We start from the raw sequence: 22,166 nt of genomic DNA on the forward strand, positions 1-22,166 counted from the left end.
CCAGAGGTAACAAACCATGGAAAGTGAAACTGTGGATAAGGGAGGACTACTATAGTATCTTCCTCATAGGGTGGTTATAAAGATTAAATTAAGGTAGAGGTTGAACTGCAAAGTATTTGAAGCATGCTTAATATAATATGTATTGTATTTTCCTATGTGTTATTAATAACAATTGCTATTCTAAGGGTGTCAAGCAGGGTTTTTCCTATTCTTCTAGAATTTTGGCTAAGGTCCAAAACTGAGTAAAGAAGATAAGTATCACATATTGCAACTTAACAAAACTGCCATCAGTTGATATCAGCCCCCATATCAGAGGGCTAACTACAAGGCACCAGTTTAGACACTGTCCGTAGCTCTCACCCACTAGAGTCCTCAGACAGTCAATATTAGATGAGGGCTGCAAATGAGACAAGCTGCTCTGGGGAGAAAACTGCTTATGAAGAGAGGCTTTCTCCCATTGCTCATTACTTCACTTCTCCATTCAAACCAGAGGGACAAAGGAGAGTGTCGATATATCCATACTGACACCTCTGTCCTCTGCCCTGGGGTCTAGTACAACTCTCCTAGAAATTTTATAGTGCCGCTGGATCTGTAGAATGTTTACTAATGTTGGGATTAAGAGAAAGAAACAGGAGAGAGATGGCAGAGCTGATTAAAATCAGCCTTATTCTCTCCTCCAACAAGGCAGTTCCATAGTCTACTATTTGGCATGGATAAGATATATAAGTTTCGTATGGATTGAAAAGAAACCCCAGAAGCCAACTGGGCTTGAGCTGTTTTGCTAAATTCGTGCTCAGTAAGACTGAGGTCTAGATGAAGGGAATCTAGCCTGTAGTCCCAGCCACTGGGGAAGCTGAGGCAGGAGAATTGCTTAAACCTGGGATGTGGAGGTTGCAGTGAGCCGAGATTACACCACTGCACTCCAGCCTGGGTGACAGAGCGAGACTCCATCTCAAAAAAACAAACAAACAAACGAACAAAAAGTTTATGTAGTATATCAGTGGTATTAGGGATTGGGAAGGTGGAAAGCACAAACTTGATCTAGGTCTTTCATTCTCCAAGATGGTGTATGTATTTAGGGTTTGGAGACCCACAGGGCTGGTGATTAACCAACAAGTGTTTTTCATGAAAGAGTCAGTATTTTGATGACTGTTACACAAAGAATCCTTAAGCCCATCAATGTCAAGGAGCAGAGGCTATTGACAGAAAAAGACCTGCCAACTCACTATGGTATATGCCTTCATGTAATGACACTTCTGTCTCCTTGTTTCTCCTGCTAGCTTAACACCAGAGGATACTCGGGGAAGAAGCAAGGTAAAATAGAGGATTTCTCCCCACCACCCCACTTGTAGCTTAGGCTGCTCTGAAACAGGGAAGAGCTTTGAATGAGACACAAAGTGTTAGACATTAAAATGGTGAAAGAGTGGTGGGTTGGTGCCACTATGCCATTAAGAAACACACTATTAAGGGGAGAGGGGACTTCCTGTGATAACAGTTGGAATTTCTACTTTTGGCAAATATGAATTAGCTTGTTCAGATGAACCCTCCAAGAACAAGAAGAAAAACTGGACAAAAATAAGAAGGAACTGGAGAGCTATCAAGACAGCTAAGACTTGAGGGGTCAAGATTCCAGAGAGAAGTCAACCTGACTTTGGGTGCTACTTTTCCCTGTAACATTTGCTGATTCAAAAGAGGGACTTGAGAGGCTGAGCAAAAAGTGGTGGTTAGAAGTCTGCATAGACAGGCAAAGCTTCCACCCATCTCATGGACATAGAGGGGGAAAATAATTAGACTTTTAGGATTCATCAGGGAGAAACCACACTAGTAGTAGGCAGCCGTTCAGGATTTTTAATTTAAAAAAGAGACTACAGTTATTAAAAATGGACTTTAAAAATATTAACATGCTCAAAAATTTAGATGAATTGAAAATTTTCATCATAGAACTGGAAACCAGACAAATAAATTTTAATTAAGAATCGTGGCCAGGCACGGTAGCTCATGCCTCTAATCCCAGCACTTCGGGAGGCCGAGGTGGGTGGATCATGAGGTCAGGAGATCAAGACCATCCTGGTCAACATGGTGAAACCCTGTCTCTACTAAAAATGCAAAAAAATTAGCCAGGCGTGGTGGTGTGCACCTGTAATCCCAGCTACTCAGGAGGCTGAGGCAGGAGAATTGCTTGAACCCAGGAGGCAGAGGTTGCAGTGAGCCAAGATTGCGCCACTGCACTCCAGCCTACATGGCAGAGTGAGACTTAAAAAAAAAATCCTGAAGGGCTGCCTTCTGCTAGAAAGAAAACTGGAAATAGACTAGCCTTTACAAAATCCTTTATAAAATAAGAACAGAGATGATCTCTCTTTACCCTTGTTGCCAATTACAAATAAAATAACATCCTCTCTTTAGAAAAAATATTTTTCAGAGCCCCCATTAAAAATAATGGAAAACAGCATTCGATAAAATATTACCAAGTGTACTAGAAGACAAAACAAGAGAAAAACCAATAATGAAAAGATACGCACAGGAGATATAGATACTAAAGTTATTAAAAATGGACTTTAAGAATACTAACATGCTCAAAGATTTAGGCAAATTGGAAATTTTCATCATAGACCTGGGAACCAGAAAAATAACAAATTAAAATTTTAGAATACACAAATGCAGTAACTAAAGTTTAGAATTTGATTACTTGGTTTAACTGTAGATTAGATGGGAGCAAAGAAAGACTATAATGATGATCTATTTTAAAAAAATCCAGACGAGCATGAAGAGAAAAATTAATGGGGGTATGCAGAAAAAAATGCAAAATATACAATACAGGAGTGAAAAAGGCTAACATGTATAAGGGAAATCACAGAATAGAGGTGAGAAAGAATAAAGCAGAAACAATATTTGAAGAGATATTAGCGGCCGGGCATGGTGGCTCATGCCTGTAATCCCAGCACTTTGGGAGGCTGAGGCGGGTGGATCACGAGGTCAGGAGATCAAGACCGTCCTGGCTAACATGGTGAAACCCTGTCTGTACTAAAAATACAACAAAAATTAGCCGGGCATGGTGGCAGGCACCTGTAGTCCCAGCTACTCTGGAGGCTGAGGCAGGAGAATGGTGTGAAACCAGGAGGCAGAGCTTGTAGTGAGCCCAGATTGCATCACTGCACTCCAGCCTGGGCGACAGAGCAAGACTCTGTCTCAAAAAAAAAAAATATATATAGATATATATAGATATAGATATATATACATAGATATCGATATATATACATATATAGATATATAGATATATACACATATAGATATATTGATATATACATATACATATGTATATATGGATATGGATATACATATACATATACGGATATGGATATACATATATCCATATATAGATATATATACATATATCCATATATAGATAGATATACATATATCCATATATAGATAGATATACATATATAGATATATATACATATATAGATATATACATATATACATATATAGATATATATTATACATATATAGATAGATATTAGCTGAGAATTTCTCTAAACTGATGAATGACAAACTTAAGTCACAGATTATAGGTGTTTAACAGATCTCTAGATTAATAAATATAAAGAAAACACATGTAGGTACATTATAGTAAGTTAGTTGAAAACCAAAGACAAATAGAAAACTTTTAAGGTAGCCAAAGAGACACATTACATTCAAAAGAGCATCAGTAAGAAAACTTGTGTCTCAATAGAAATGACAGAGTTCGGAAGACAAATTTCAAAGTGCTAAAATAACTGCCAACTTAAATTTCTGCTCAGAGCAAAAATTAAAGTGAAATAGACATTTTCAATTAAAGCTGAATTTATTACCATCTTACCCATGTTAAATGAAATACCAAATGTCTTCATGTAGGAGAAAATATTCTCAGAATAGCACAGAATTAAAGAAGAAATGAAAAGCAACAGAAAAAGTAAATATGTATGTAAATGAAAAAATGAAGATTTAAACATATAAATCAATAAAATAAAAGAATAATACTTAGGGCTTAAGCTCTATGTAGAATATGTGACAACAGTAATACAAAATGCAAGTGAGTTAAATAGATATAAAATACTTCTACCTTTGCACTGTCTGGGAAGTGGCTTAAAAATAATTTCTATTAGATTGTGATAAGCAAATGATAAATTTTTGATGTCTTTTGTAACCATTAAAAGACTAGCAAAAAAATACAATTGGCAGGCTAGTAGGAGACATGATTTTTTTTTTTTAAATCCAAAGTCAAGAGATCAGAGAAAAAGAAAATAGAGGAAAAAAAGAACCAAATAGTAAGATTTTAGTTATAATCTCAAATTTGGGTTTATATTTAATAGTTACATTAAATGTAAATGGATTAAATATTCCAATTAAAGACTAGGATTTTAAAATTGAATTAAGTGCCACAACTGCGTTTGAGATATTCCTTAAATAAAAGTATTTAGAGGAGTGGAAACAGTCTATCAAAGCTATATTAATATAAGAGAATGTTGAATTTATAATAGAAAATTATTTGAGATAAATAGATATGATAAAAGGTTAATACACCTATAGGATACAACAATTGTGAATATGTATCAGACAGTGCAACATCAAAATATACAAACAGAAATTCACAAATAAAATGTACCAAACATAATTGGAAGGATATACCATATTTATAAATTGGAAGACTATTTTTGAGATACCACTTCTCTTCAGTCTGATCTACAGGTTAATTATAATAATACTACTAGAATATTTTTGTGAAAATCAAAAAGTTGATTCTAAAATTTATATAATAATTGAAAAGACTGAGAATCACCCAGACAATCTTGATAAAACAGAATAAAATGGTAAGACTTCTATTAACAGATGCTATGGACTGAACTGTGTTCCCAAAATTCATATGTTGAAGCCCTAGCCCCTAGTGTGAGATAGGCCTACAAGGAGGTAACTAAAATTAAATGAGGTCATAAGGCTGGGGCCCTGATGCTGAGCATTAGTGTCCTTATAGGAAGAGATACCAGAGAGCTTGTCCTCCCCACCATGTGAGGACACAGCAAGAAGGTGGCCATCTACAAGCCAGGAAGAGAGCTCTGAATGGAAATTAAATCAGCTGGAATCTTTTGTTATTTAAGCTACCCAATCTATAATTTGTTATAGCAGCCCAAGCAGTCTAATACATATTTTGGTATTAAGAACTGTGGTGCTGCTGTAATAAATGCCTAAAAAATGTGAAAGTGGCTTTGGAACTCAGACGTACAGGCTGGAAGAGTTCTGAGATGCATACTATAAAAGTGTGGATGTTAAGGGAGGTACTGGTAAGGTCTCAGGTGGAAATAAGGAATTTGTTATTGTAAATGGAAAAAAATAATCCTTGTTATAATATGGCAAAGAACTTCACTGAAATGTGTTCTAGTGTTTTGCAGAAGGTGGAACTTTTGGGCAACAACATGGGATTCATTTCTGTAGGACTCAGTCTGAGGAGTTTCCTAAGCTAAGTGTTGAAGGAGAGGCTTGGTTTCTTCTGAATGCTTATAGTAAATTGTGAAAGAAGAAGGATGGATTAAATAAGAGATTGTTAAGCAAAACCAAGTCAGAACTTGAAGACTTGAAAAATTCTCAGAGTATCCATATTGAAAAAAAACAAAAACAAGAAACCTTGTTCTGAAGAGAACACTAAATATGAGACTAAACAACCATTTGATAAGGAGATCATGAATATGACTTGTAGACCGAATCAGTCATCTCAATAGAAGTCAGGAATAGAGATGGGATGATACCAGCAGACACTGCCAGTTTGAACTAAAGCAGGCAGAGAAAGTGGAATATGGAGTGAAGGACAGCTGTTGGACTTCCTGGAATCTACAAGATTAAACCATAGAGGTATCTGACTGCAAACATACACTATTATTCAAGAAAAGAGAAAATCACTCTGAAAGAGATTCAGAGGGCTTCAGAGCTGCCACTCCCACACAGGCCCAGGAGACAAGGATGTTTTCTCCTCGGTTTTGGGAGGGGAGCCCTTGAAGAAACCCTTATGGATGGTGACTTCTGAGAGACAAATCTTGCCAAGACAAAGGGGCAGGGGGATTGCTGCGCCCAGCTAAAGGACAAGGGCTGCCCAGCAGAGCCAGGAGGGTGATGCTGCCATTCCAGTGAGTTTGGAAGGTGGGACATCAAGCTAACTGAGGATTATTCATGAGGCTTAATATCTAATGGAATTTGCCTTGCTAGGTTTTGGATTCGTTTGGGACTGTATTAATCCATTTTCATATTGCTGATAAAGACATACCTGAGACTGAGCAATTTACAAAACAGGTTTAATTGGACTTACATGGCTGGGGATGCCTCACAATCATGGCAGAAAGAAAGGAAGAACAAGTCACGTCTTACATGGATGGCAGCAGACAAAGAGAGCTTTTGCAGGGGAACTCCTCCTTTTGAAATCATCAGATCTCATGAGACATATTCACTGTCATGAGAACAGCATGGGGAAGACTTGCCCTGTGATTCAATTACCTCCCACCAGGCTCTTCCCATGACACACACACAAATTCAAAATGAGATTTGGGTGGGGACACAGCCAACCCATATCATTCCACCCTTGGCCTCTCCCAAACCTCACATTTCAAAACTAATCATACCTTTCAAGCAGTCCCCCAAAGTCTTAACTCATTTCAGCATTAACTCAGAAGTCCACAGTCCAAACTCTCATCTGAGACAAGGCAAGTCTCTTCCACCTATGAGCCTGTGAAATCAAAACCAGGTTAGTTACTTCCTAGATACAGTGGGGGTACAGGCATTGGGTAAATACAGCCATTCCAAAAGGGAGGAATTGGCTAAAACAAAACAAAGGGGCTACAGGCCCTATGCAAGTCCAAAATCCAGTGAGGCAGTCTAATCTTAAAGCTCCAAAATGATCTCCTTTGACTCCATGTCTCACATCCAGGTCATGCTGATGCAAGAAGTGGGTTCCCATGATCTTGGGTAGCTCTGCCCCTGTGGCTTTGCAGGGTACAGACTTCCTCATAGTTGCTTTCAGTGGCTGGTGTAGAGTGTCTGCAGCTTTTCCAGGTGCATGATACAACCTGTTGGTGGATCCGCCGTTCTGGGGTCTGGAGGATGGTGGTGCTCTTCTCACAGCTGCACTAGGCATTGCCCCAGTAGGGGCTCTGTGTGGGGTCTCTGGCCCCACAATTCCCTTCTGCACTGCTCTAGCAGAGCTTCTTCATGAGGGCCCCGCCCCTGCAGCAAACTTCTGCCTGGACATCCAAGTGTTTCCATACATCTTCTGAAATCTAGGGAGAGGTTCCCAAACCTCAGTTCTTGACTTCTGTGCCCTCACAGGCTCGACACCACATGGAAGTTCCTATGGCTTGAGGCTTGCATCCTCTGAAGTCATGGCCTGAGCACTACAGTGGCCCCTTTCAGCCACATGTGGAGCAGCTGGGATGCAGGGCAGCAAGTCCCTAGACTGCACACAGCAGTGGGACCCTGGACTGGGCCCACAAAACCACTTTTTCCTCCTAGGCCTCTGGGCCTGTGATGGGAGCGCTGCCATGAAGACCTCTGACATGCCCTGGAGACATTTTCCCCATTGTCTTGGGGATTAACATTTGGCTCCTTGTTACTTATGCAGATTTCTACAACTGGCTTTAATTTCTACTCAGAAAATGGGATTTTTCTTTTTTATTGCATTGTCAGGCTGCAAATTTCCCAAACTTTTATACTCTGCTTTCCTTATGAAACTGAATGCTTTTAACAGCACCCAAGTCACCTCTTGAATAGTTTGCTGCTTAGAAATTTCTTCCACCAGATACCCTAAATCATCTCTCTTAAGTTTAAAGTTGCACAAATCTCTAGGGCAGGGGCAAAATGCTGCCAGTTTCTTTACTAAAACATAACAAGAGTCACATTTGCTCCAGTTCCCAACAGGTTCCTCATCTCCATCTGAGACCACCTCAGCCTGGACCTTATTGTTCACATCACCATCAGCATTTTTGTCAAAGACATTCAACAAGTCTCTAGGAAGTTCCAAACTTTCCCACATTTTCCTGTCATCTTCTGAGCCCTCCAAACTGTTCCAACCTCTTACTGTTACCGAGTCCCAAAGTCGCTTCCACATTTTCAGGTATCTTTTCAGCAATGCCCCACTCTGCTGGTACCAATGTACTGTATTAGTCCATTTTCATGCTGCTGATAGATATTCCAGAGACTGGGCAATTTACAAAAAGTGGTTTAATTGGATTTGGAATTCCAGGTAGCTGGGGAAGCCTCACAATCATGGCAGAAGGCAAAGAAGAGCAAGTCTGATCGTACATGGATGGCAGCAGGCAAAGAGAGCAAGTTTTGCAGGGGAATTCCTCTTTTTAAAACCACCAGATCTCATGAGACTTATTCACTATCGAAAGAACAGCAGTGGAAACACTTGCCCCATGATTCAATTAGATCCCACTGCATCCCTCCCACAACACACAGGAATTCAAGATGAGATTTGGGTGAGGTCACAGCCAAACCATATCAGGGACCCATCGCCCCTTCCTTCTTTCCTATTTGTTTTTTTGGAATGGGTATGTCTATCTTAACACTTGTCCCACTATTGTACTTCAGAAGACATCACTTGTCTGGTTTCACAGTTTCAAAACTAAAGAATTTTGTCTCAGGTTTAACCATACCTTAAGTGTCATTAATATCTGATTTAGATGATATTTAGATGAGACTTTGGACTTCAGACTTCAGAGTTGATGCTGGAATGAGTTAAGATCTTTGTGGCAGATGGGATGGAAGGAATGTATTTTGCATGTGATGAAGACATGAATTTGAGGGGTTTGGGGCAGAATATTATGGACTAAACTGTGTCTTCCCCCTAAATTTGTATGTTAAATCCCTAACTGCTAATGTGACTGTGCTTGAAAGTAGGGTCTGTAAGGAGGTAATTAAGGTTAATTGCAATCATAATTGGGGGGTGATACAGTAGGATTAGTATCTTTATAAGAAGAGACACCAGAAAGCTCGCTCTTTTTCTCTCTACCATGGGAGAATACAAGGAAAAGGCAGCCATCTACGAGGAATATACATATATATTCTTCACCAGAAACCAAATCAGGTGGCAGCTTGCTTTTGGACCTCCCAGACTTCAGAGCTATGAGAGAATAAATTTTTGTTGTTTAAGCCACGCCCCATGGTACAGTGGTCACCCCTTATTTCAGGTTTTGTGTTCCATGGTTTCAGTTATCCTTAGTCAACTGGGGTCTGAAAAGATTAAAAGAGAAAATCTAGAAATAAACAATTCATAAGTTTTAGACTATGTGCTGTTCTGAGCAGCATAATGAAATCTTGCACTGTCCCACTCTGTCCACCCTGGAATGTGGATCATCCCATTTGTCCCGTAGATCCATGCTGTACATGCTACCTGAGTTAGTCACTTTGCAGCCAAATCCATTACCAGATTGACTGTCAGTATTGCGGTGCTTGAATTCAAGTAACCGTTATTTTACTCAATAGCCACAAAACAGAGTATCATGCCTAATTTATAAATGTAACCCAATCCTAGGTATGTATGTATGGGAAAACATATAGTATATATACAGTTCTGTGGTGTCCAAGGTTTCAGGGTGTCCACTGGGGTTCTTGGAACATTTCCTGCTGATGAGGGGAAACTACTGTATTTTGTTATTGTAACCCAACTGGATTAATACACCAGATATCAGAATTCTTTGAAAACTGTTTTCTCCTTTTCCTCCAACGTAAGCTACAGGAGTGAGATGTTGGGAGGAGATGGTTTTGGGCAGTTGAGAGGGGTGGAGCTGGGGAGATTGAATTTTGGTAGGACAAAGTGAAAGAGGTAAAGCTCTAGGCAGTGATGTAACAGGAAGGGGAAGGATTAGGGAGTAGCAGGAGTTAGGGTTAGTGTTAGCCTCATGACTGGGAATTTTAAAGGGCCACTGTGTGGTATTGATAAAGCTGGCCTACAACATAGAAAAGGCTGTTTAATAATTGGTTCTGAGTCTACTGAATTTCTAAATTTTAAAAAGTTAATGACATATGCCACACTGTTCACAAGAATCATTGATGAGATTTTAGATTTAAATGTGAAAGACAGGCAAAGACTTAGGACACAAAATACACCAATATTTTGCTAGACTGGATTACGTTAAATTGAGAAATTTATATTCATTGAAAGAATTACGTGGATGAAGATATTTGCTATATGTATGTTGTATACATAAAAATTCAAGTTCAGAATATATATATATATAAAATACATGTAGGTTGGGTGCAGTGGCTCACACCTGTAATCCCCACACTTTGGGAGGTCAAGGTGGGTGGATCACCTGAGGTCAAAAGTTCAAGACCAGCCTGGCCAACATGGTGAAACCTTGACTCTACTAAAAATACAAAAAATTAGCTGCACGTGGTGGCAGGCACCTGTAATCCCAGCTACTTAAGAGGCTGAGGCAGGAGACTCGCTTGAACCAGGAGTTGGAGGTTGCAGTGAGCCGAGATTTAGCCATTGCACTCCGGCCTGGGCAACAAGAGTGAAACTTCGTCTCAAAAAACCAAAAAAGAATATATATGTTATATGTGTATATTCCTATCAGTCAATTAAAAAAAAAACCAATAGAAAAATAAGCGAATGCTTCTGTATGTCACTGTATTTCAATAAACCAACTTCAAAAGACCTCAAAAATTAAGACATTCAACTATTCCAAGAAGCATATGAAAATGTGCTTGGTCTCCTTATTCATTGGGAAAATGTAAATTAAATAAAATGAGATAAATAATATAATCCTACACAGCCACCAGCATGACTTAAAGAGACTGACAATACTAAATTTTAGCATGGAATTGGAGAAATCGGCATTCTCAAACATTGCTGGTGGGAGTGTAAATTAGTACAACCAATTTGGTGAACTATTTAGCAATAACTCCTAAAACAGAATATATGCAGATATTATGACCTAGCGATGCTACCCCTAGATATATATCTTACAGAAAAGTATACATATGTGCACTAAATTAAATGTGGAGATGTTTTATAGCAGCATTATTTATAATAGCTCTAAACTGGAAACCTAAATGTCCAACAGAAGACTGATTTGATCTCTTACGGCATATGCATAAAAATAGAGTACTATTAAGCCATGAAAATGAGCAAAATACTGCTATTCACAATGTGAGTGGATATTAGGTAATGTTGAGTAAACAATGTTTGACACAAAATAATGCATACTGTATAACTCCATTATAGTAATCTTCATAAAATATAGAAATAGTTTCTGATGTTAGAAGTAAAAATAATAGTTAGCTTTGGAGAAGAGGAGGAAATAGCGCCCATGAGAGAGCTCAAAGGGAGCTCCTATTTTTCTGGTAATGCTCTATTTTTTGACCTGTGTCGTAATTACAAATGTTTTTCGCTTTGTGGAATTTATTTTAATTTGTGCATGCTTCTGTATATATGTATTTCCATAAAATTTCAGTAAAATATATATAACAGAGTTTGGGGAGAGGTCCTGAAAAAATACAATCATTTTTTATTTCCATCTCAATGAGTTGCAACTTCTCTATGAATGAGTGATAGTAGTAGCAGCAGCAGCAGCAAGAAGAAGACGATTTGGGAAAACCTGAGCTTGGCACAGGGGTGGGCCAGATCAAGGAAGAATAAATTGAAAACTAATCATGAAGTTCAACGAACCCAAACATCAATCTGAATAGGCCAACCCAGAGAAGAAACCAGAAGCAAAGGAATGGGGAATCCAAGAAAGGAATGGGGCCTTTTTATTTTTTTAATTTTTGAGATGGAGTCTCACTCTGTTACCCGGGCTGGAGTGCAGTGGCATGATCTTGGCTCACTGCAACCTTCACCTCTTGGCTGCAAGCAATTCTTCTGCCTCAGCCTCAAACTAGTTGAGACTACAGGTACACATCACCACACCCAGCTAATTTTTATATTTTTAGTAGAGGTGGAGGTCTCATCATGTTGACCAGGCTGATATCGAACTCCTGACCTCAGATGATGTGCCCACCTCAGCTTCCCAAAGTGCTGGGACTAAAGGCGTGCGCCACCGCACCCACCTGAGTGGAGCCTGTTTTAGAGTGGAGTGCCAGGTTGTGAATACTGGGAGATCTCCCACTACTGAGTAAGACTTTTTTTTTTTTCCTTTTGAAAAATAATGAAATTAGCCTTTTTATCTCTGCATACCAGGAAGTCTCAAAGGAACTTTAGAGTTGTTTTATGAAAACTACTGCTGACGACCTTCTTGGGCAAAGTAATTCTACGGAGAACCCACATAATTAAATGCACCTGTATCATTTACAGATGCTGATACACATTAAATGACATAATTCCCCCCTCAAATATTACAGACGTGACATAGATGATGTCTATATCTGAGTCTATTGAAGTGGCACATATAATCACACAATTTAGGGCTTTGGAAATTCTTTGTAATCCTACCTCCTACTTCGGAAATTGACTAGGGCCTTGTAAGGTCTTTGAACATTGAGGTGGAAAGAACCTTGGATTGGGATTTAGCTCATTTTAATCCTCAGTGCAGTCACATGGACTCTGGAGTCAGGTGGACAAGGGCATCATTATTCATACTGGATTATGTGCGACAGATGTAGGTAATCTGAGGCCAGCTGACTTGAGGAAGCTTTCATGGTTATGAAGCAGTAAAGTCAGAATTCAAAACCAGGGCTCTCTGACTCCAGAATCCAAATAACACGTTTGTTAACCTATTTCCTCTTCTACCTGGCATTTTTCAGAAAATTTGTAAAGAAGTTTCATGGAAACTTCATGGAAACCTACCTTGCCACACAAAGGTAGGACTCTACTCTTCAAGCTAAGCATAGCTAGCCCCTTACACCAGTTTTAAAGGAAGTAGTTTTCATTCCCTTGACAGTCTAGTTGCCTGACACCTGCCAAATCCTATTCCCCATTTCTCTTACTTCTCATGTAGGCAGAATAGCATAATCCCTGTCCACCATGACCTGGTCCCAATGTTCCAAACACTTTGTATGTGAATCCCAGAATGTTAAATCCAAGGAAGACTTGGCCAGAAAGTATACACGTGAAGGTTGCATAAGAGAAATACTACCTGATGGAAATTGCTGTGAACTTGGAGTGGGAGGACTAGGCAGTCCTGCCAGCTCTTCTCTTCATCACTGTTAAACCATGGGAAAATCACTTGCCTCTCTAAGCCTGAGTTTCCACAAGTGAGAAAAATAGAAACTGAGTAAATATGTCCTTAAGCTCTGGAATCAGACGGACAAAGTGTATCATATATATATTTTTTCTCCTTTCTTCCAGCTTTAAAGCATAATTGACATATAAAAATTGGGTATATTCATGGTGTACAGTATGGTGTGTTAAGATATGTATACACTGAAATGACTTCCAGCCCCTATGTAACCATGCCATGCCATTTTCTTTCTCTGCATTGTGACTTCCTTCCACCATGGGCGATGGAATGAGCTAGATGATCTCTCACAGTCTTTGCGGTTCCAAGATCTGTGAGTCTCTGTCTCCATGGGATGGTGGAAGGCATACTGGACTGAGAGCCCAGAACTGGGCTGAAGTCTGAGCTCTTTTCCTATTCCATCTATGACCTTGAACAATTCGCTTTCTTATGTAAGCTCCAGATCTCTTGTCTGTAGAAACAGAAAGGTAGCTATGGTATCGTGTGCTCCTAGTTCTAATATTCTGTGGTTTGAAGTCAGGTTCATCAAATTAACAGAAACTTCTGCAGCACTAAACCAGAAATCATGGACTCTGGTCCAGATGTTTAGTTAACCAGAAGTTAATACTGATGATGATGCGAACTGTTCGTTGAAGGTTTATGGTATGCTAGCCTGTGTGCTAGAATACTTTACCTGCACTATCTAATGTAATCCTCAAAATTAATCTCAAAATAGTTTTTATTATTTTCCGTTTTATAAATGAAATAATGGATCCACAAGAAAGTTAAATGACTCACCCCAGGCCACAGAGTGAGAAAAAGGAGTAGAGACCAGAACTCCGGGGCACCCACTGCCCTACCTGCCTTCTCTGATGCTTCATTGCAGCTTGAGCTGCGCTTTCATAGTATAATCATCCTAATGGATCGATGTGTATAGTACTTCAAAATTTATAAAGCATTTAATATCTTCATTTAATCAAGTGCCTTTAACATTGGTTTTATTGCCTTCATTTTGGAGCTGAAAAAGCTGCGGATTGGAAAAGTTAAGTAACTTTGCATAGATTGATAAATTGGTTAGTAGCAGAGACATTACTTAAACTGATGCTCCTGATTTAGAGTTCAGAGATTTCTCTGCAACATGGCAACTAACTCTGTGAAAAGAGAAATAATCACCTCCCTATGGCCTGTTCACATCTGAGAATGTTTTTGAAAGGTGCAAAATGTCTTACAAACACGTGTCTTCATGGTTTTAAGTTCAAAAGCAGGTTCCATCCTCCCAGTGCGCGTATCTGTCTATAGCACCTTCCAACCCACGCCTTAATGAGTGCACCATGGTGCTGTAGATGGAAGTGAGACAGGCAGGAAATCTTTCCCTCCGGTGTTTCAGCTGTTTGAGGCTCTGACTCCCCACAGGTTCCCATGGTGGAGCGGACATGACAAGTTAATTCTGCAGCAGTTCAGGCTGAAGCAAACCTGGCAGTCGTGTAATGAGAGGGTCTCTGGTTGCTGCCAGCAGGAAGGAGAAAGTCAGATATGACAAATGGATTATCAGGGACAAAATATATTAGGTAGAAAAAGGAAGTGATAGCTCTTGGCTTCCCTGGAGAATTGTTCTGTCCACCTGGCATGGCTTGGTAGCATGGGGAAAAGTCGATCAACGAGGTATCAGGCAGGCTGGTGACTGTCATATACAGAATTCAGGATGGCATTTGAGGTTGACAGTCGCACAAAATAAATATCAGAGACGGTTGCTCCTATTTAGTTTAGGATTTACAGAATCACACAATCGATGTGGGCTTTGGGATAACTGACACTGAAGCCTCAGTAGTTTTTGTTCACCCTGATCCTGATCCTTTAAAGCAGTCCCTCACCCCCAATTCCTGTGACCCACACAACCGATAAGCAGTAAGGTAGACTGAGAACGTGTTATTTCCTTTGGTAACAATGGTGTCTAGAGAAAGCAGTTCAGTTCAACAAAGATCACAGGTCAGAATAACCATCACTATGGAATCTGTTCTTCCTCCTGCCCTGCTCCAGTTGTCTTCCAATTTGCGCCCAAATTTTCACCCTGCTCCTTATCTTTAGGCTTATTAATTGACTTGGGTATGCCTGGGTTGGCTAGCAGTGCAACAGTAAGGGCTTTGCTTTGGATTAGTCTGTTCAGCTGTTTTCTCTGTCAGCTGCTCTGATAAGACAACTTGATCTGGCTGTCACCCAGGTCACACCATTACTCTTCTCAACTGGCAACTTGCTAGGTCTCCCCTTCCAGGCCTTCTTAAACCTTGTGCTTTTTCCTAGATTGTGCAAGAACAGATATGAAGTTAACTGATCTTACCCCAGTAACTTACCCCAGACTGTAGAGCAGGGATGATAATGGACCTGTATTGGGTGGGAAGTTGGGGGAGGGCACATGGCAGATTTGGAAGAACTTTCTCAGGATTAGGGTTTGGGTAATAATGCTGTATTAGGGTTCCTCAAAGAAACAGAACCAATAGAATACATATATATATATACACATATTTATTTCATCCTTTTCCATTGAATATATACATACATATATATGTAGGTATATGGAGAGAGAGGGTTTATATATGTATATATGAACATATAGATATACATTTATAAAACGTATATTTACAGATTAATTTATATACTATATACCCTTGCTCTCTCCATATACCTACATATATGTATTGTCTCTCTCTCTATATATATATAATAGATATAAAATGTATGTATATATTCAATGGAAAGGGATGAAATAAGTATATTCTATTTCTGTGCTGAGATACAGACACATATATATATAAAATATAAATATAAAATATATATATTTTATATATATAATATATATAAAACATATATATATAATATATATAATATATAATATATATAAAATATATATAATATATATAATATATATATAAAATATATATAATATATATATAAAATATATATAATATATATATAAAATATATATAATATATATAAAATATATATAATATATATATATATATATATATATATATATATATAAATTGTGTTACATGTTTATGAGTGCTGACAAGTCCCCCAATCTGCAGCCTGCTTGATCTCTGTAGGCTGGAGTCCCAGGAAAGTCAGTGGTATAATTCAGTCTGGGTCTGAAGGCCTGAGATCCAGAAGAAATGACAGTGTAAATTCCAGCATGATTGCTGGAGAAGATGAGATGACATGTCCCAGCTCAAGCAATGAGGCAGGAAAAAAAAAAGGGAGGCAAATTCCTCCTTCCTCTACCTTTTTGTTCTATCCGGGCCCTCAGTGGATTGGGTGATGCCCACCCATTCTGGGGAGGGCCATCTGCTTTTCTGAGCCCAAATCCTGATTCAAATGCCAATTTTATGTAGCGATGCCTTTACAGACACCCCCAGAAAGTGTTAAATTGAGGCACCCTGTGGCCAGTCAAGTTACCACATAAAATTAAGCATCACTAATATCAACACCAATACTACTATTACTACTACTACTACTACTACTTACAATGATGACCACCACTACCAGTATCCATTGAGCACTTATGTGCTGGGCTAAGTACATTATATGAGGTGGGCCTATTACTGTCCCACCTCACTGATAACCTGAAACCCTAAAAGCTTAAGTAATTTTCCCAAAGTCAAAGGGCAGCCAGCATTCTAAATAGAGTGCAGAAAGGAGTAAGGCAAGAAGGGCTTCCTTGACTCTGGGCCCATGTTGATCTAAAGTGGGAGGAGAACAGTAGGGTAGGGATTCCTCAGTAAATCAGGAAGAAGCTCCCACATTTCAAGGAATGGAAAATCTGACTCAAACTGGCTTGCTGGCACACCAGCTAGGAACTCCCAAAGCACTGCAGGTTTCAGAGTTTCCTTCATTTAGGGGCTCACAATACATCTGTGGCTTCAACTCCAATCTACCCTGTCCTCCTGTGCTTTGCCCCCAGATCTCTTGGTTCTACCCTCCTTTGTGGTTTCCTTTGATCTCAGGCTGACTTCTTATGTTAATGATCTAGATGCTGACAGCTCCTGGGGCCACTTGGTTCCCCGTTCACATTCAGGAGCAGGGGCATGACTTTCCATCCCCCTCCTCTGAATAAAAGTCTTGAAGCTCATTCTCTTTTGACAACTTAAGACCTGTGCCCCCAGGAGAGCACCATGTGCTGGCCTCTCAGGAAGGGCACTTTTCTGACCCAAGGACAAAGGAGTGAGGAATTGAGGCGACTACATTTGAGTTTGCAGCCCCTGGATTCTGTGATTTTCATGATTTCTTTCAGCTCCAGTGATGTAAATATCTACCCCCCACCAAAAAGAGTGAATCCATGCCAGATACACCTGCTCCCTAGCAATTTTGTCATCTCTCCAGCTCTAATTCCTAGGAAGTGACTATAATCCATCCACCCCCACTGGAGGCAGGTGGGAAGAGGAACAGAGACAACTGGCAAGGGGGAGGAAATGGGCTGGAGGCCATGAGTTGCTCTCTGTGTAGTCACTCACCCAGTCTTTGGAAGGTGCTCAGGTAGAAATGCAGTTGAGGTTTTATCCTGCTCAATTTCTTAGGGATTGTGGGAAAGAGTGGATAGGAAAAATAGAGCTTGTGGGCTATACTCAGAGCCACTGGCAAGCAGCAAGGACTCAGCATGAATGATTTGAGAGAGCACCTCAGCATATCAGAAAAACCATAATGTTCCAGCCACCTGCTCTCTCTGGCTATTGGACCAGCCTCAGATCACAGGGAAACCAAGCCCAGGAGTAGACCTCTGTTCCAGCAAGAGAAATGCGAGAAGCTAGAGCAGGACATGATCTCAGGCTGCCATCTTTTCAAGGTTGGGGACGCTTATGTACTTTGTTCTGTCCTTCTGCTTCCTGCAGACCTCTTGGGTTTGAACTCATTGCCTGGCTTTGACCAGATGCTAACCTACATTATGTTTGCCATTTGGTCCACTTGATTCTGTTACTTAAGGACCATCTTTGATTTCTGAATTCTAGTCCTTGGCCATTTTCATTACTTACGGCCACCCACAGGGTAATAATTGCAACAGGCACCATATACTGAGCGCTTGCTCTAAGCCTTGAGTTTTGCAGGCATTATTCTAAAAACACTCCAAGTTCGTTATTATTTTTATTTTGCCTATGAGAAGATGGAGGCCCAGAATAATTAAGTAATTTGCCCAAAGTTTCTCAGTTTGCTAAGTGGTTGTGTTAGGGTTCAAATTCATTTCTGACACCAGTGTCTTTTATCTTTCCACAACACTCCACTACAAGTGGTAGTAGAGAACCAGATTGGAAGATTAATTTCAGGTGGCAAGGGGTGGCTGCACAAGTGACCCCCAACTCTGTTCTTCAGGGTTTTACTTTCCTTGTGGGTCTCCTTCCAGCTTGTTCCTCCTGTGACACCAAGCCAAGCCTCCTAAAGCCACAGCCACCTTTTAAATAGTTGGCTCCAAGCTTGACAAAATTTTCTTTACTTCTGTGCCTTTCACACAACTGAGACAGGCTTATATTTTTGGAAAGATTTTTACTAAACACTAAGGGAAACTGAAAGGAAATAATTGCAGCAAATATAGGCAGTATAAAAATAGCCAACTTTCCAAATACACATTTCTGGCTCTAGGAATCACAGTAGAAACAGCAGAAAGCTTTTCTGTTGCCCAAACCTGATGCTAAGGAAGTCCCCCGACCAAAACACTGCTGCAAGATTTGTTTTAATGGAGCTCAGCCATATCTACACTTCTTGTTTGGGCTGGGAGTCAAGAATCTGACCCAGGGGGGATGCATGAGCAGAGAGGTGGGGGCGTGGCTGCAGGATCCATGTCTCCTGGCCCAGACTCACTTGGGCTGTGGCCTTCATTACCACCCCATGCTGATGCTGCCCAAATATTGGTCTCTAGTCCAGGCTTCCCTCCCGAAACCTACTGGGTGTCTCCACTTGGACATTCCATAGATAACTGAGCTCCTCTGTATTTGAGCCCATCATCTGTCTTCCCTCCAGTAAATGGCACCACCCTCCACCCAGTTACACAAGACCAATACCAGGAGGAAAGTCATTCCTGACACTTCCCCTAAGTCCAGTTAGCCATTCAATTCTAGCAGTTCCCCCCCCCCGCCCCCCCGCTCTCCCCACCAAATCTCTTCATTTCTCCCCATCTCTTCCACTTCTACCTATATTCAGGTCACCTTTATCTCTGATCTGGACTGTTCTCTTTTAGCCTCCTAACTAGTTTGACTACCTTCAGTTTTATCTCCTTTAATCTATTCCCCATGCCAGGGGTAAAGCTTTTTAAACACAAGTCTGATCATGTAGTTCTTTCTGCTTAAAGTCCTCTGGACATTCTCCATTTCTCTCAGAAGAAAATACCAAACATAGACTAATGCTGCTCATTCCTCTAGGCTTGTGTCTCAGGACCCCCGTCCTTCTGTATTAGTCTGTTCTCACACTGCTAATAAAGACATACCCAAGACTGGGTAATTTATAAAGAAAAGAGGTTTAATTGACTCACAGTTCTACAGGGCTGGGAAGGCTTCAGGAAACTTTCAATCATGGCAGAAAGGAAAGTAAACATGTCCTTCCTCACATGGCAGCAGCAAGCAGAAGTACCCAGCAAAAAGGGGAAAAGCACCTTATAAAACCGTCAGGAGAACTCACTATCATGAGAGCAGCATAGAGGTAACTGCCCCCATGATTCAATTACCTCCCACCAAGTCCCTCCCACGACTCATGGGGATTATGGGAACGGCAATTCAAGATGAGATTTAGGTGGGGACACAGCCAAATTATATCACCTTCCTGTACTTGGAAGCTTGCACTTGTCCCTGCTCTCATCCTTCTAAATAATGTTCATCTTCTCTACTGAGCTGCTCTGACATCTGGGCCTTTTACCATGCTCTTCCCTTTAAATGAAATACACCTGTGCTAAGCCATCTTGCCTGTTTTCACCAACTAGGTCTTAGAAGTACCTTGCTCCAAAATGTTTTCTGTATCCCATAAAATTGGGGTTAAGTGCCTAACTTAAAACGTATTACTTTCAACACTGTTTAGGTTGTATGGATTTCTGCCCAACAGCAGGGGCTCATTAGGAAAGTAACCATGTCAGCTGATTCACTATTAGAGCACTATTTATCATCACAGTGACTGACATTGAGTAGGTAGCATAGCACTTAATAAATATCTGATAAATGGATGAATAGATAATATGTGCATAAAAATGGGGTCACCATAGCCTTGGAGGAGAATGACTTAATCAAGATTGGCATAAGAAACAAAATACCGGTGCATTTGACAAACATTTCCAGAATATCTCCTCTGTCTCAGGCTATGTACTGGGAAATCTGGACCTGGGAGACAAGAGCCAGGACCTTCGTAATCAGCAGGACCCTGTCCCTGACCATGTGGCTCCTGTTGGAAGCCTCACTACCTTGAATCCCACCCTTTAGCAAGCCTAACTATGCACTGTGAATGAACAGGTTCCTGGGGGCCTCGTCTGATCCAGTTAGCAGCAGAATTAAGCTTTAAGAGAAAAATTAGTCCTTTTATTTTTCTCTTCTCTCCTTTTCTTTCATTTTTCTTTTCTTTGATCTCTTCTCCTTTCTTCTTTAAATAAAACCCATGCTGTTTCTGTGTTCACCCCCACTCTCATTTTTCTTTCTTAATTCATTTGGGATGCCCCAGATCTTACTTTTACTGTGTTTTATTTAAGGAAGCATTGGTGGGATCAGGGATAATGTATTTCCAAAGGGGGGTGTTAGTCTTTTAATCAATTACCCAGGATCCTCTCTCACTGACATACCCCACGTGGAGCATCCAGCAGAGGAGACAGTGGGTGAGCCAGGACACTGAAGAGTTGGGAAGGAATTAGTGTTAATTCCTACCAGACACCTCCCTGTGATGTTTCTCAGTCAATAAGAGATTAGATAGGTGAGAAGGTTTAAACATAGCCATGCCTCTTCTCATCACCTGCTAATCCATTCCCACACTAGGCCCTGGGGCAGAGGCCCTAGAAATGTATCTGCTGATGCACACAGAGCCCTCCAAAGGCCTTCTTTCCTTCTCCCGGACTTCCAGGAAAGCCGTGAGCAGCAAAGTCTTCTGGTGTTGTTTCCTGGCAAATGGATCCCTGGGAAATGTGGAAAGATCAGAAGCTGCTGCATGGTGTTACGGGGTTGGTGGGAGTGCAAGGTAAGAAAAGAGTGGGTGTATAGGATAAGATGAAGAGAGAGAGAAGGTAAGAAAGCCAGGGAGGTTCTTATCAGCATCTTATCACTACTCTGGTCTGCAGCCTCAGTGACTGTGGAAGACAGACTCTTGACTCCTGCCTCTGGGGCTTTTGGGGTTCATGTCCTTCTAGTATTCCCTCTCCTTCACTATGAATGGGACTTATCACTTGCTTCTAACCAATAAGTATATCAAAGGTGAACGGACTTCACTCCTGTGATACGTTATGTTGCATAAGGGCATGTTCCACTGGTGTACTCACACGAGACTGACTTTCTCAATCTTCCCTGCTGTTCTTTCTCTGTGGCTGGCTTTGAAGAAGCAAGTCCACAAATCCTGCGACTACAAGGAATTGAGTGTTGTCTGACAACCACATGAGGTTGAAAGGAGACCTCGTACAAGAACCCAGCTCTGACCGACAACTTGATAGCCACCTTTTGAGACTCTGATCAGAGGACCCTAAGTCATGCCTAGACTCCTGATGCACAGAAACTGTGAGATAATAATAAGTGGGTTGTTCTAAGCCACTAAGTGTGTCATAATTTGTTCTGTAGTGATAGAAACCAACAATGATAGAAAACTAATACTGTGGTCCCTTTTGCTTCCTGCTTTGAGCACTAGGGCATGAATGCTTCTATCTCCTTCCATTATCAAGGTGGTCTCTCCAGTAAAGGACACTAAACCTGTTCACATTGACATGTACTTGACCGACTACAGTTCAGGTTGCTACTCTCCCAACAGAGGCACCTGTACACCAGGGAGCCT

General features: G+C 40.5%; 1 long non-coding RNA gene across 1 annotated transcript; it reads right to left on the bottom strand.

Moving 5' to 3' along the window:
* Positions 1-12,574: 12,574 nt before the first annotated feature.
* Positions 12,575-21,858, bottom strand: LOC124905108 (uncharacterized). Its single transcript, XR_007068082.1, has 3 exons — positions 21,664-21,858; positions 19,690-19,759; positions 12,575-15,475 (listed from the first exon to the last, which is right to left on the bottom strand). It is a non-coding gene; the product is annotated as an uncharacterized LOC124905108 (long non-coding RNA).
* Positions 21,859-22,166: the final 308 nt, after the last annotated feature.

The sequence above is a fragment of the Homo sapiens genome, chromosome 22, assembly GCF_000001405.40.
Source record: "Homo sapiens chromosome 22, GRCh38.p14 Primary Assembly".
Classification (NCBI taxonomy): Eukaryota; Metazoa; Chordata; class Mammalia; order Primates; family Hominidae; genus Homo; species Homo sapiens.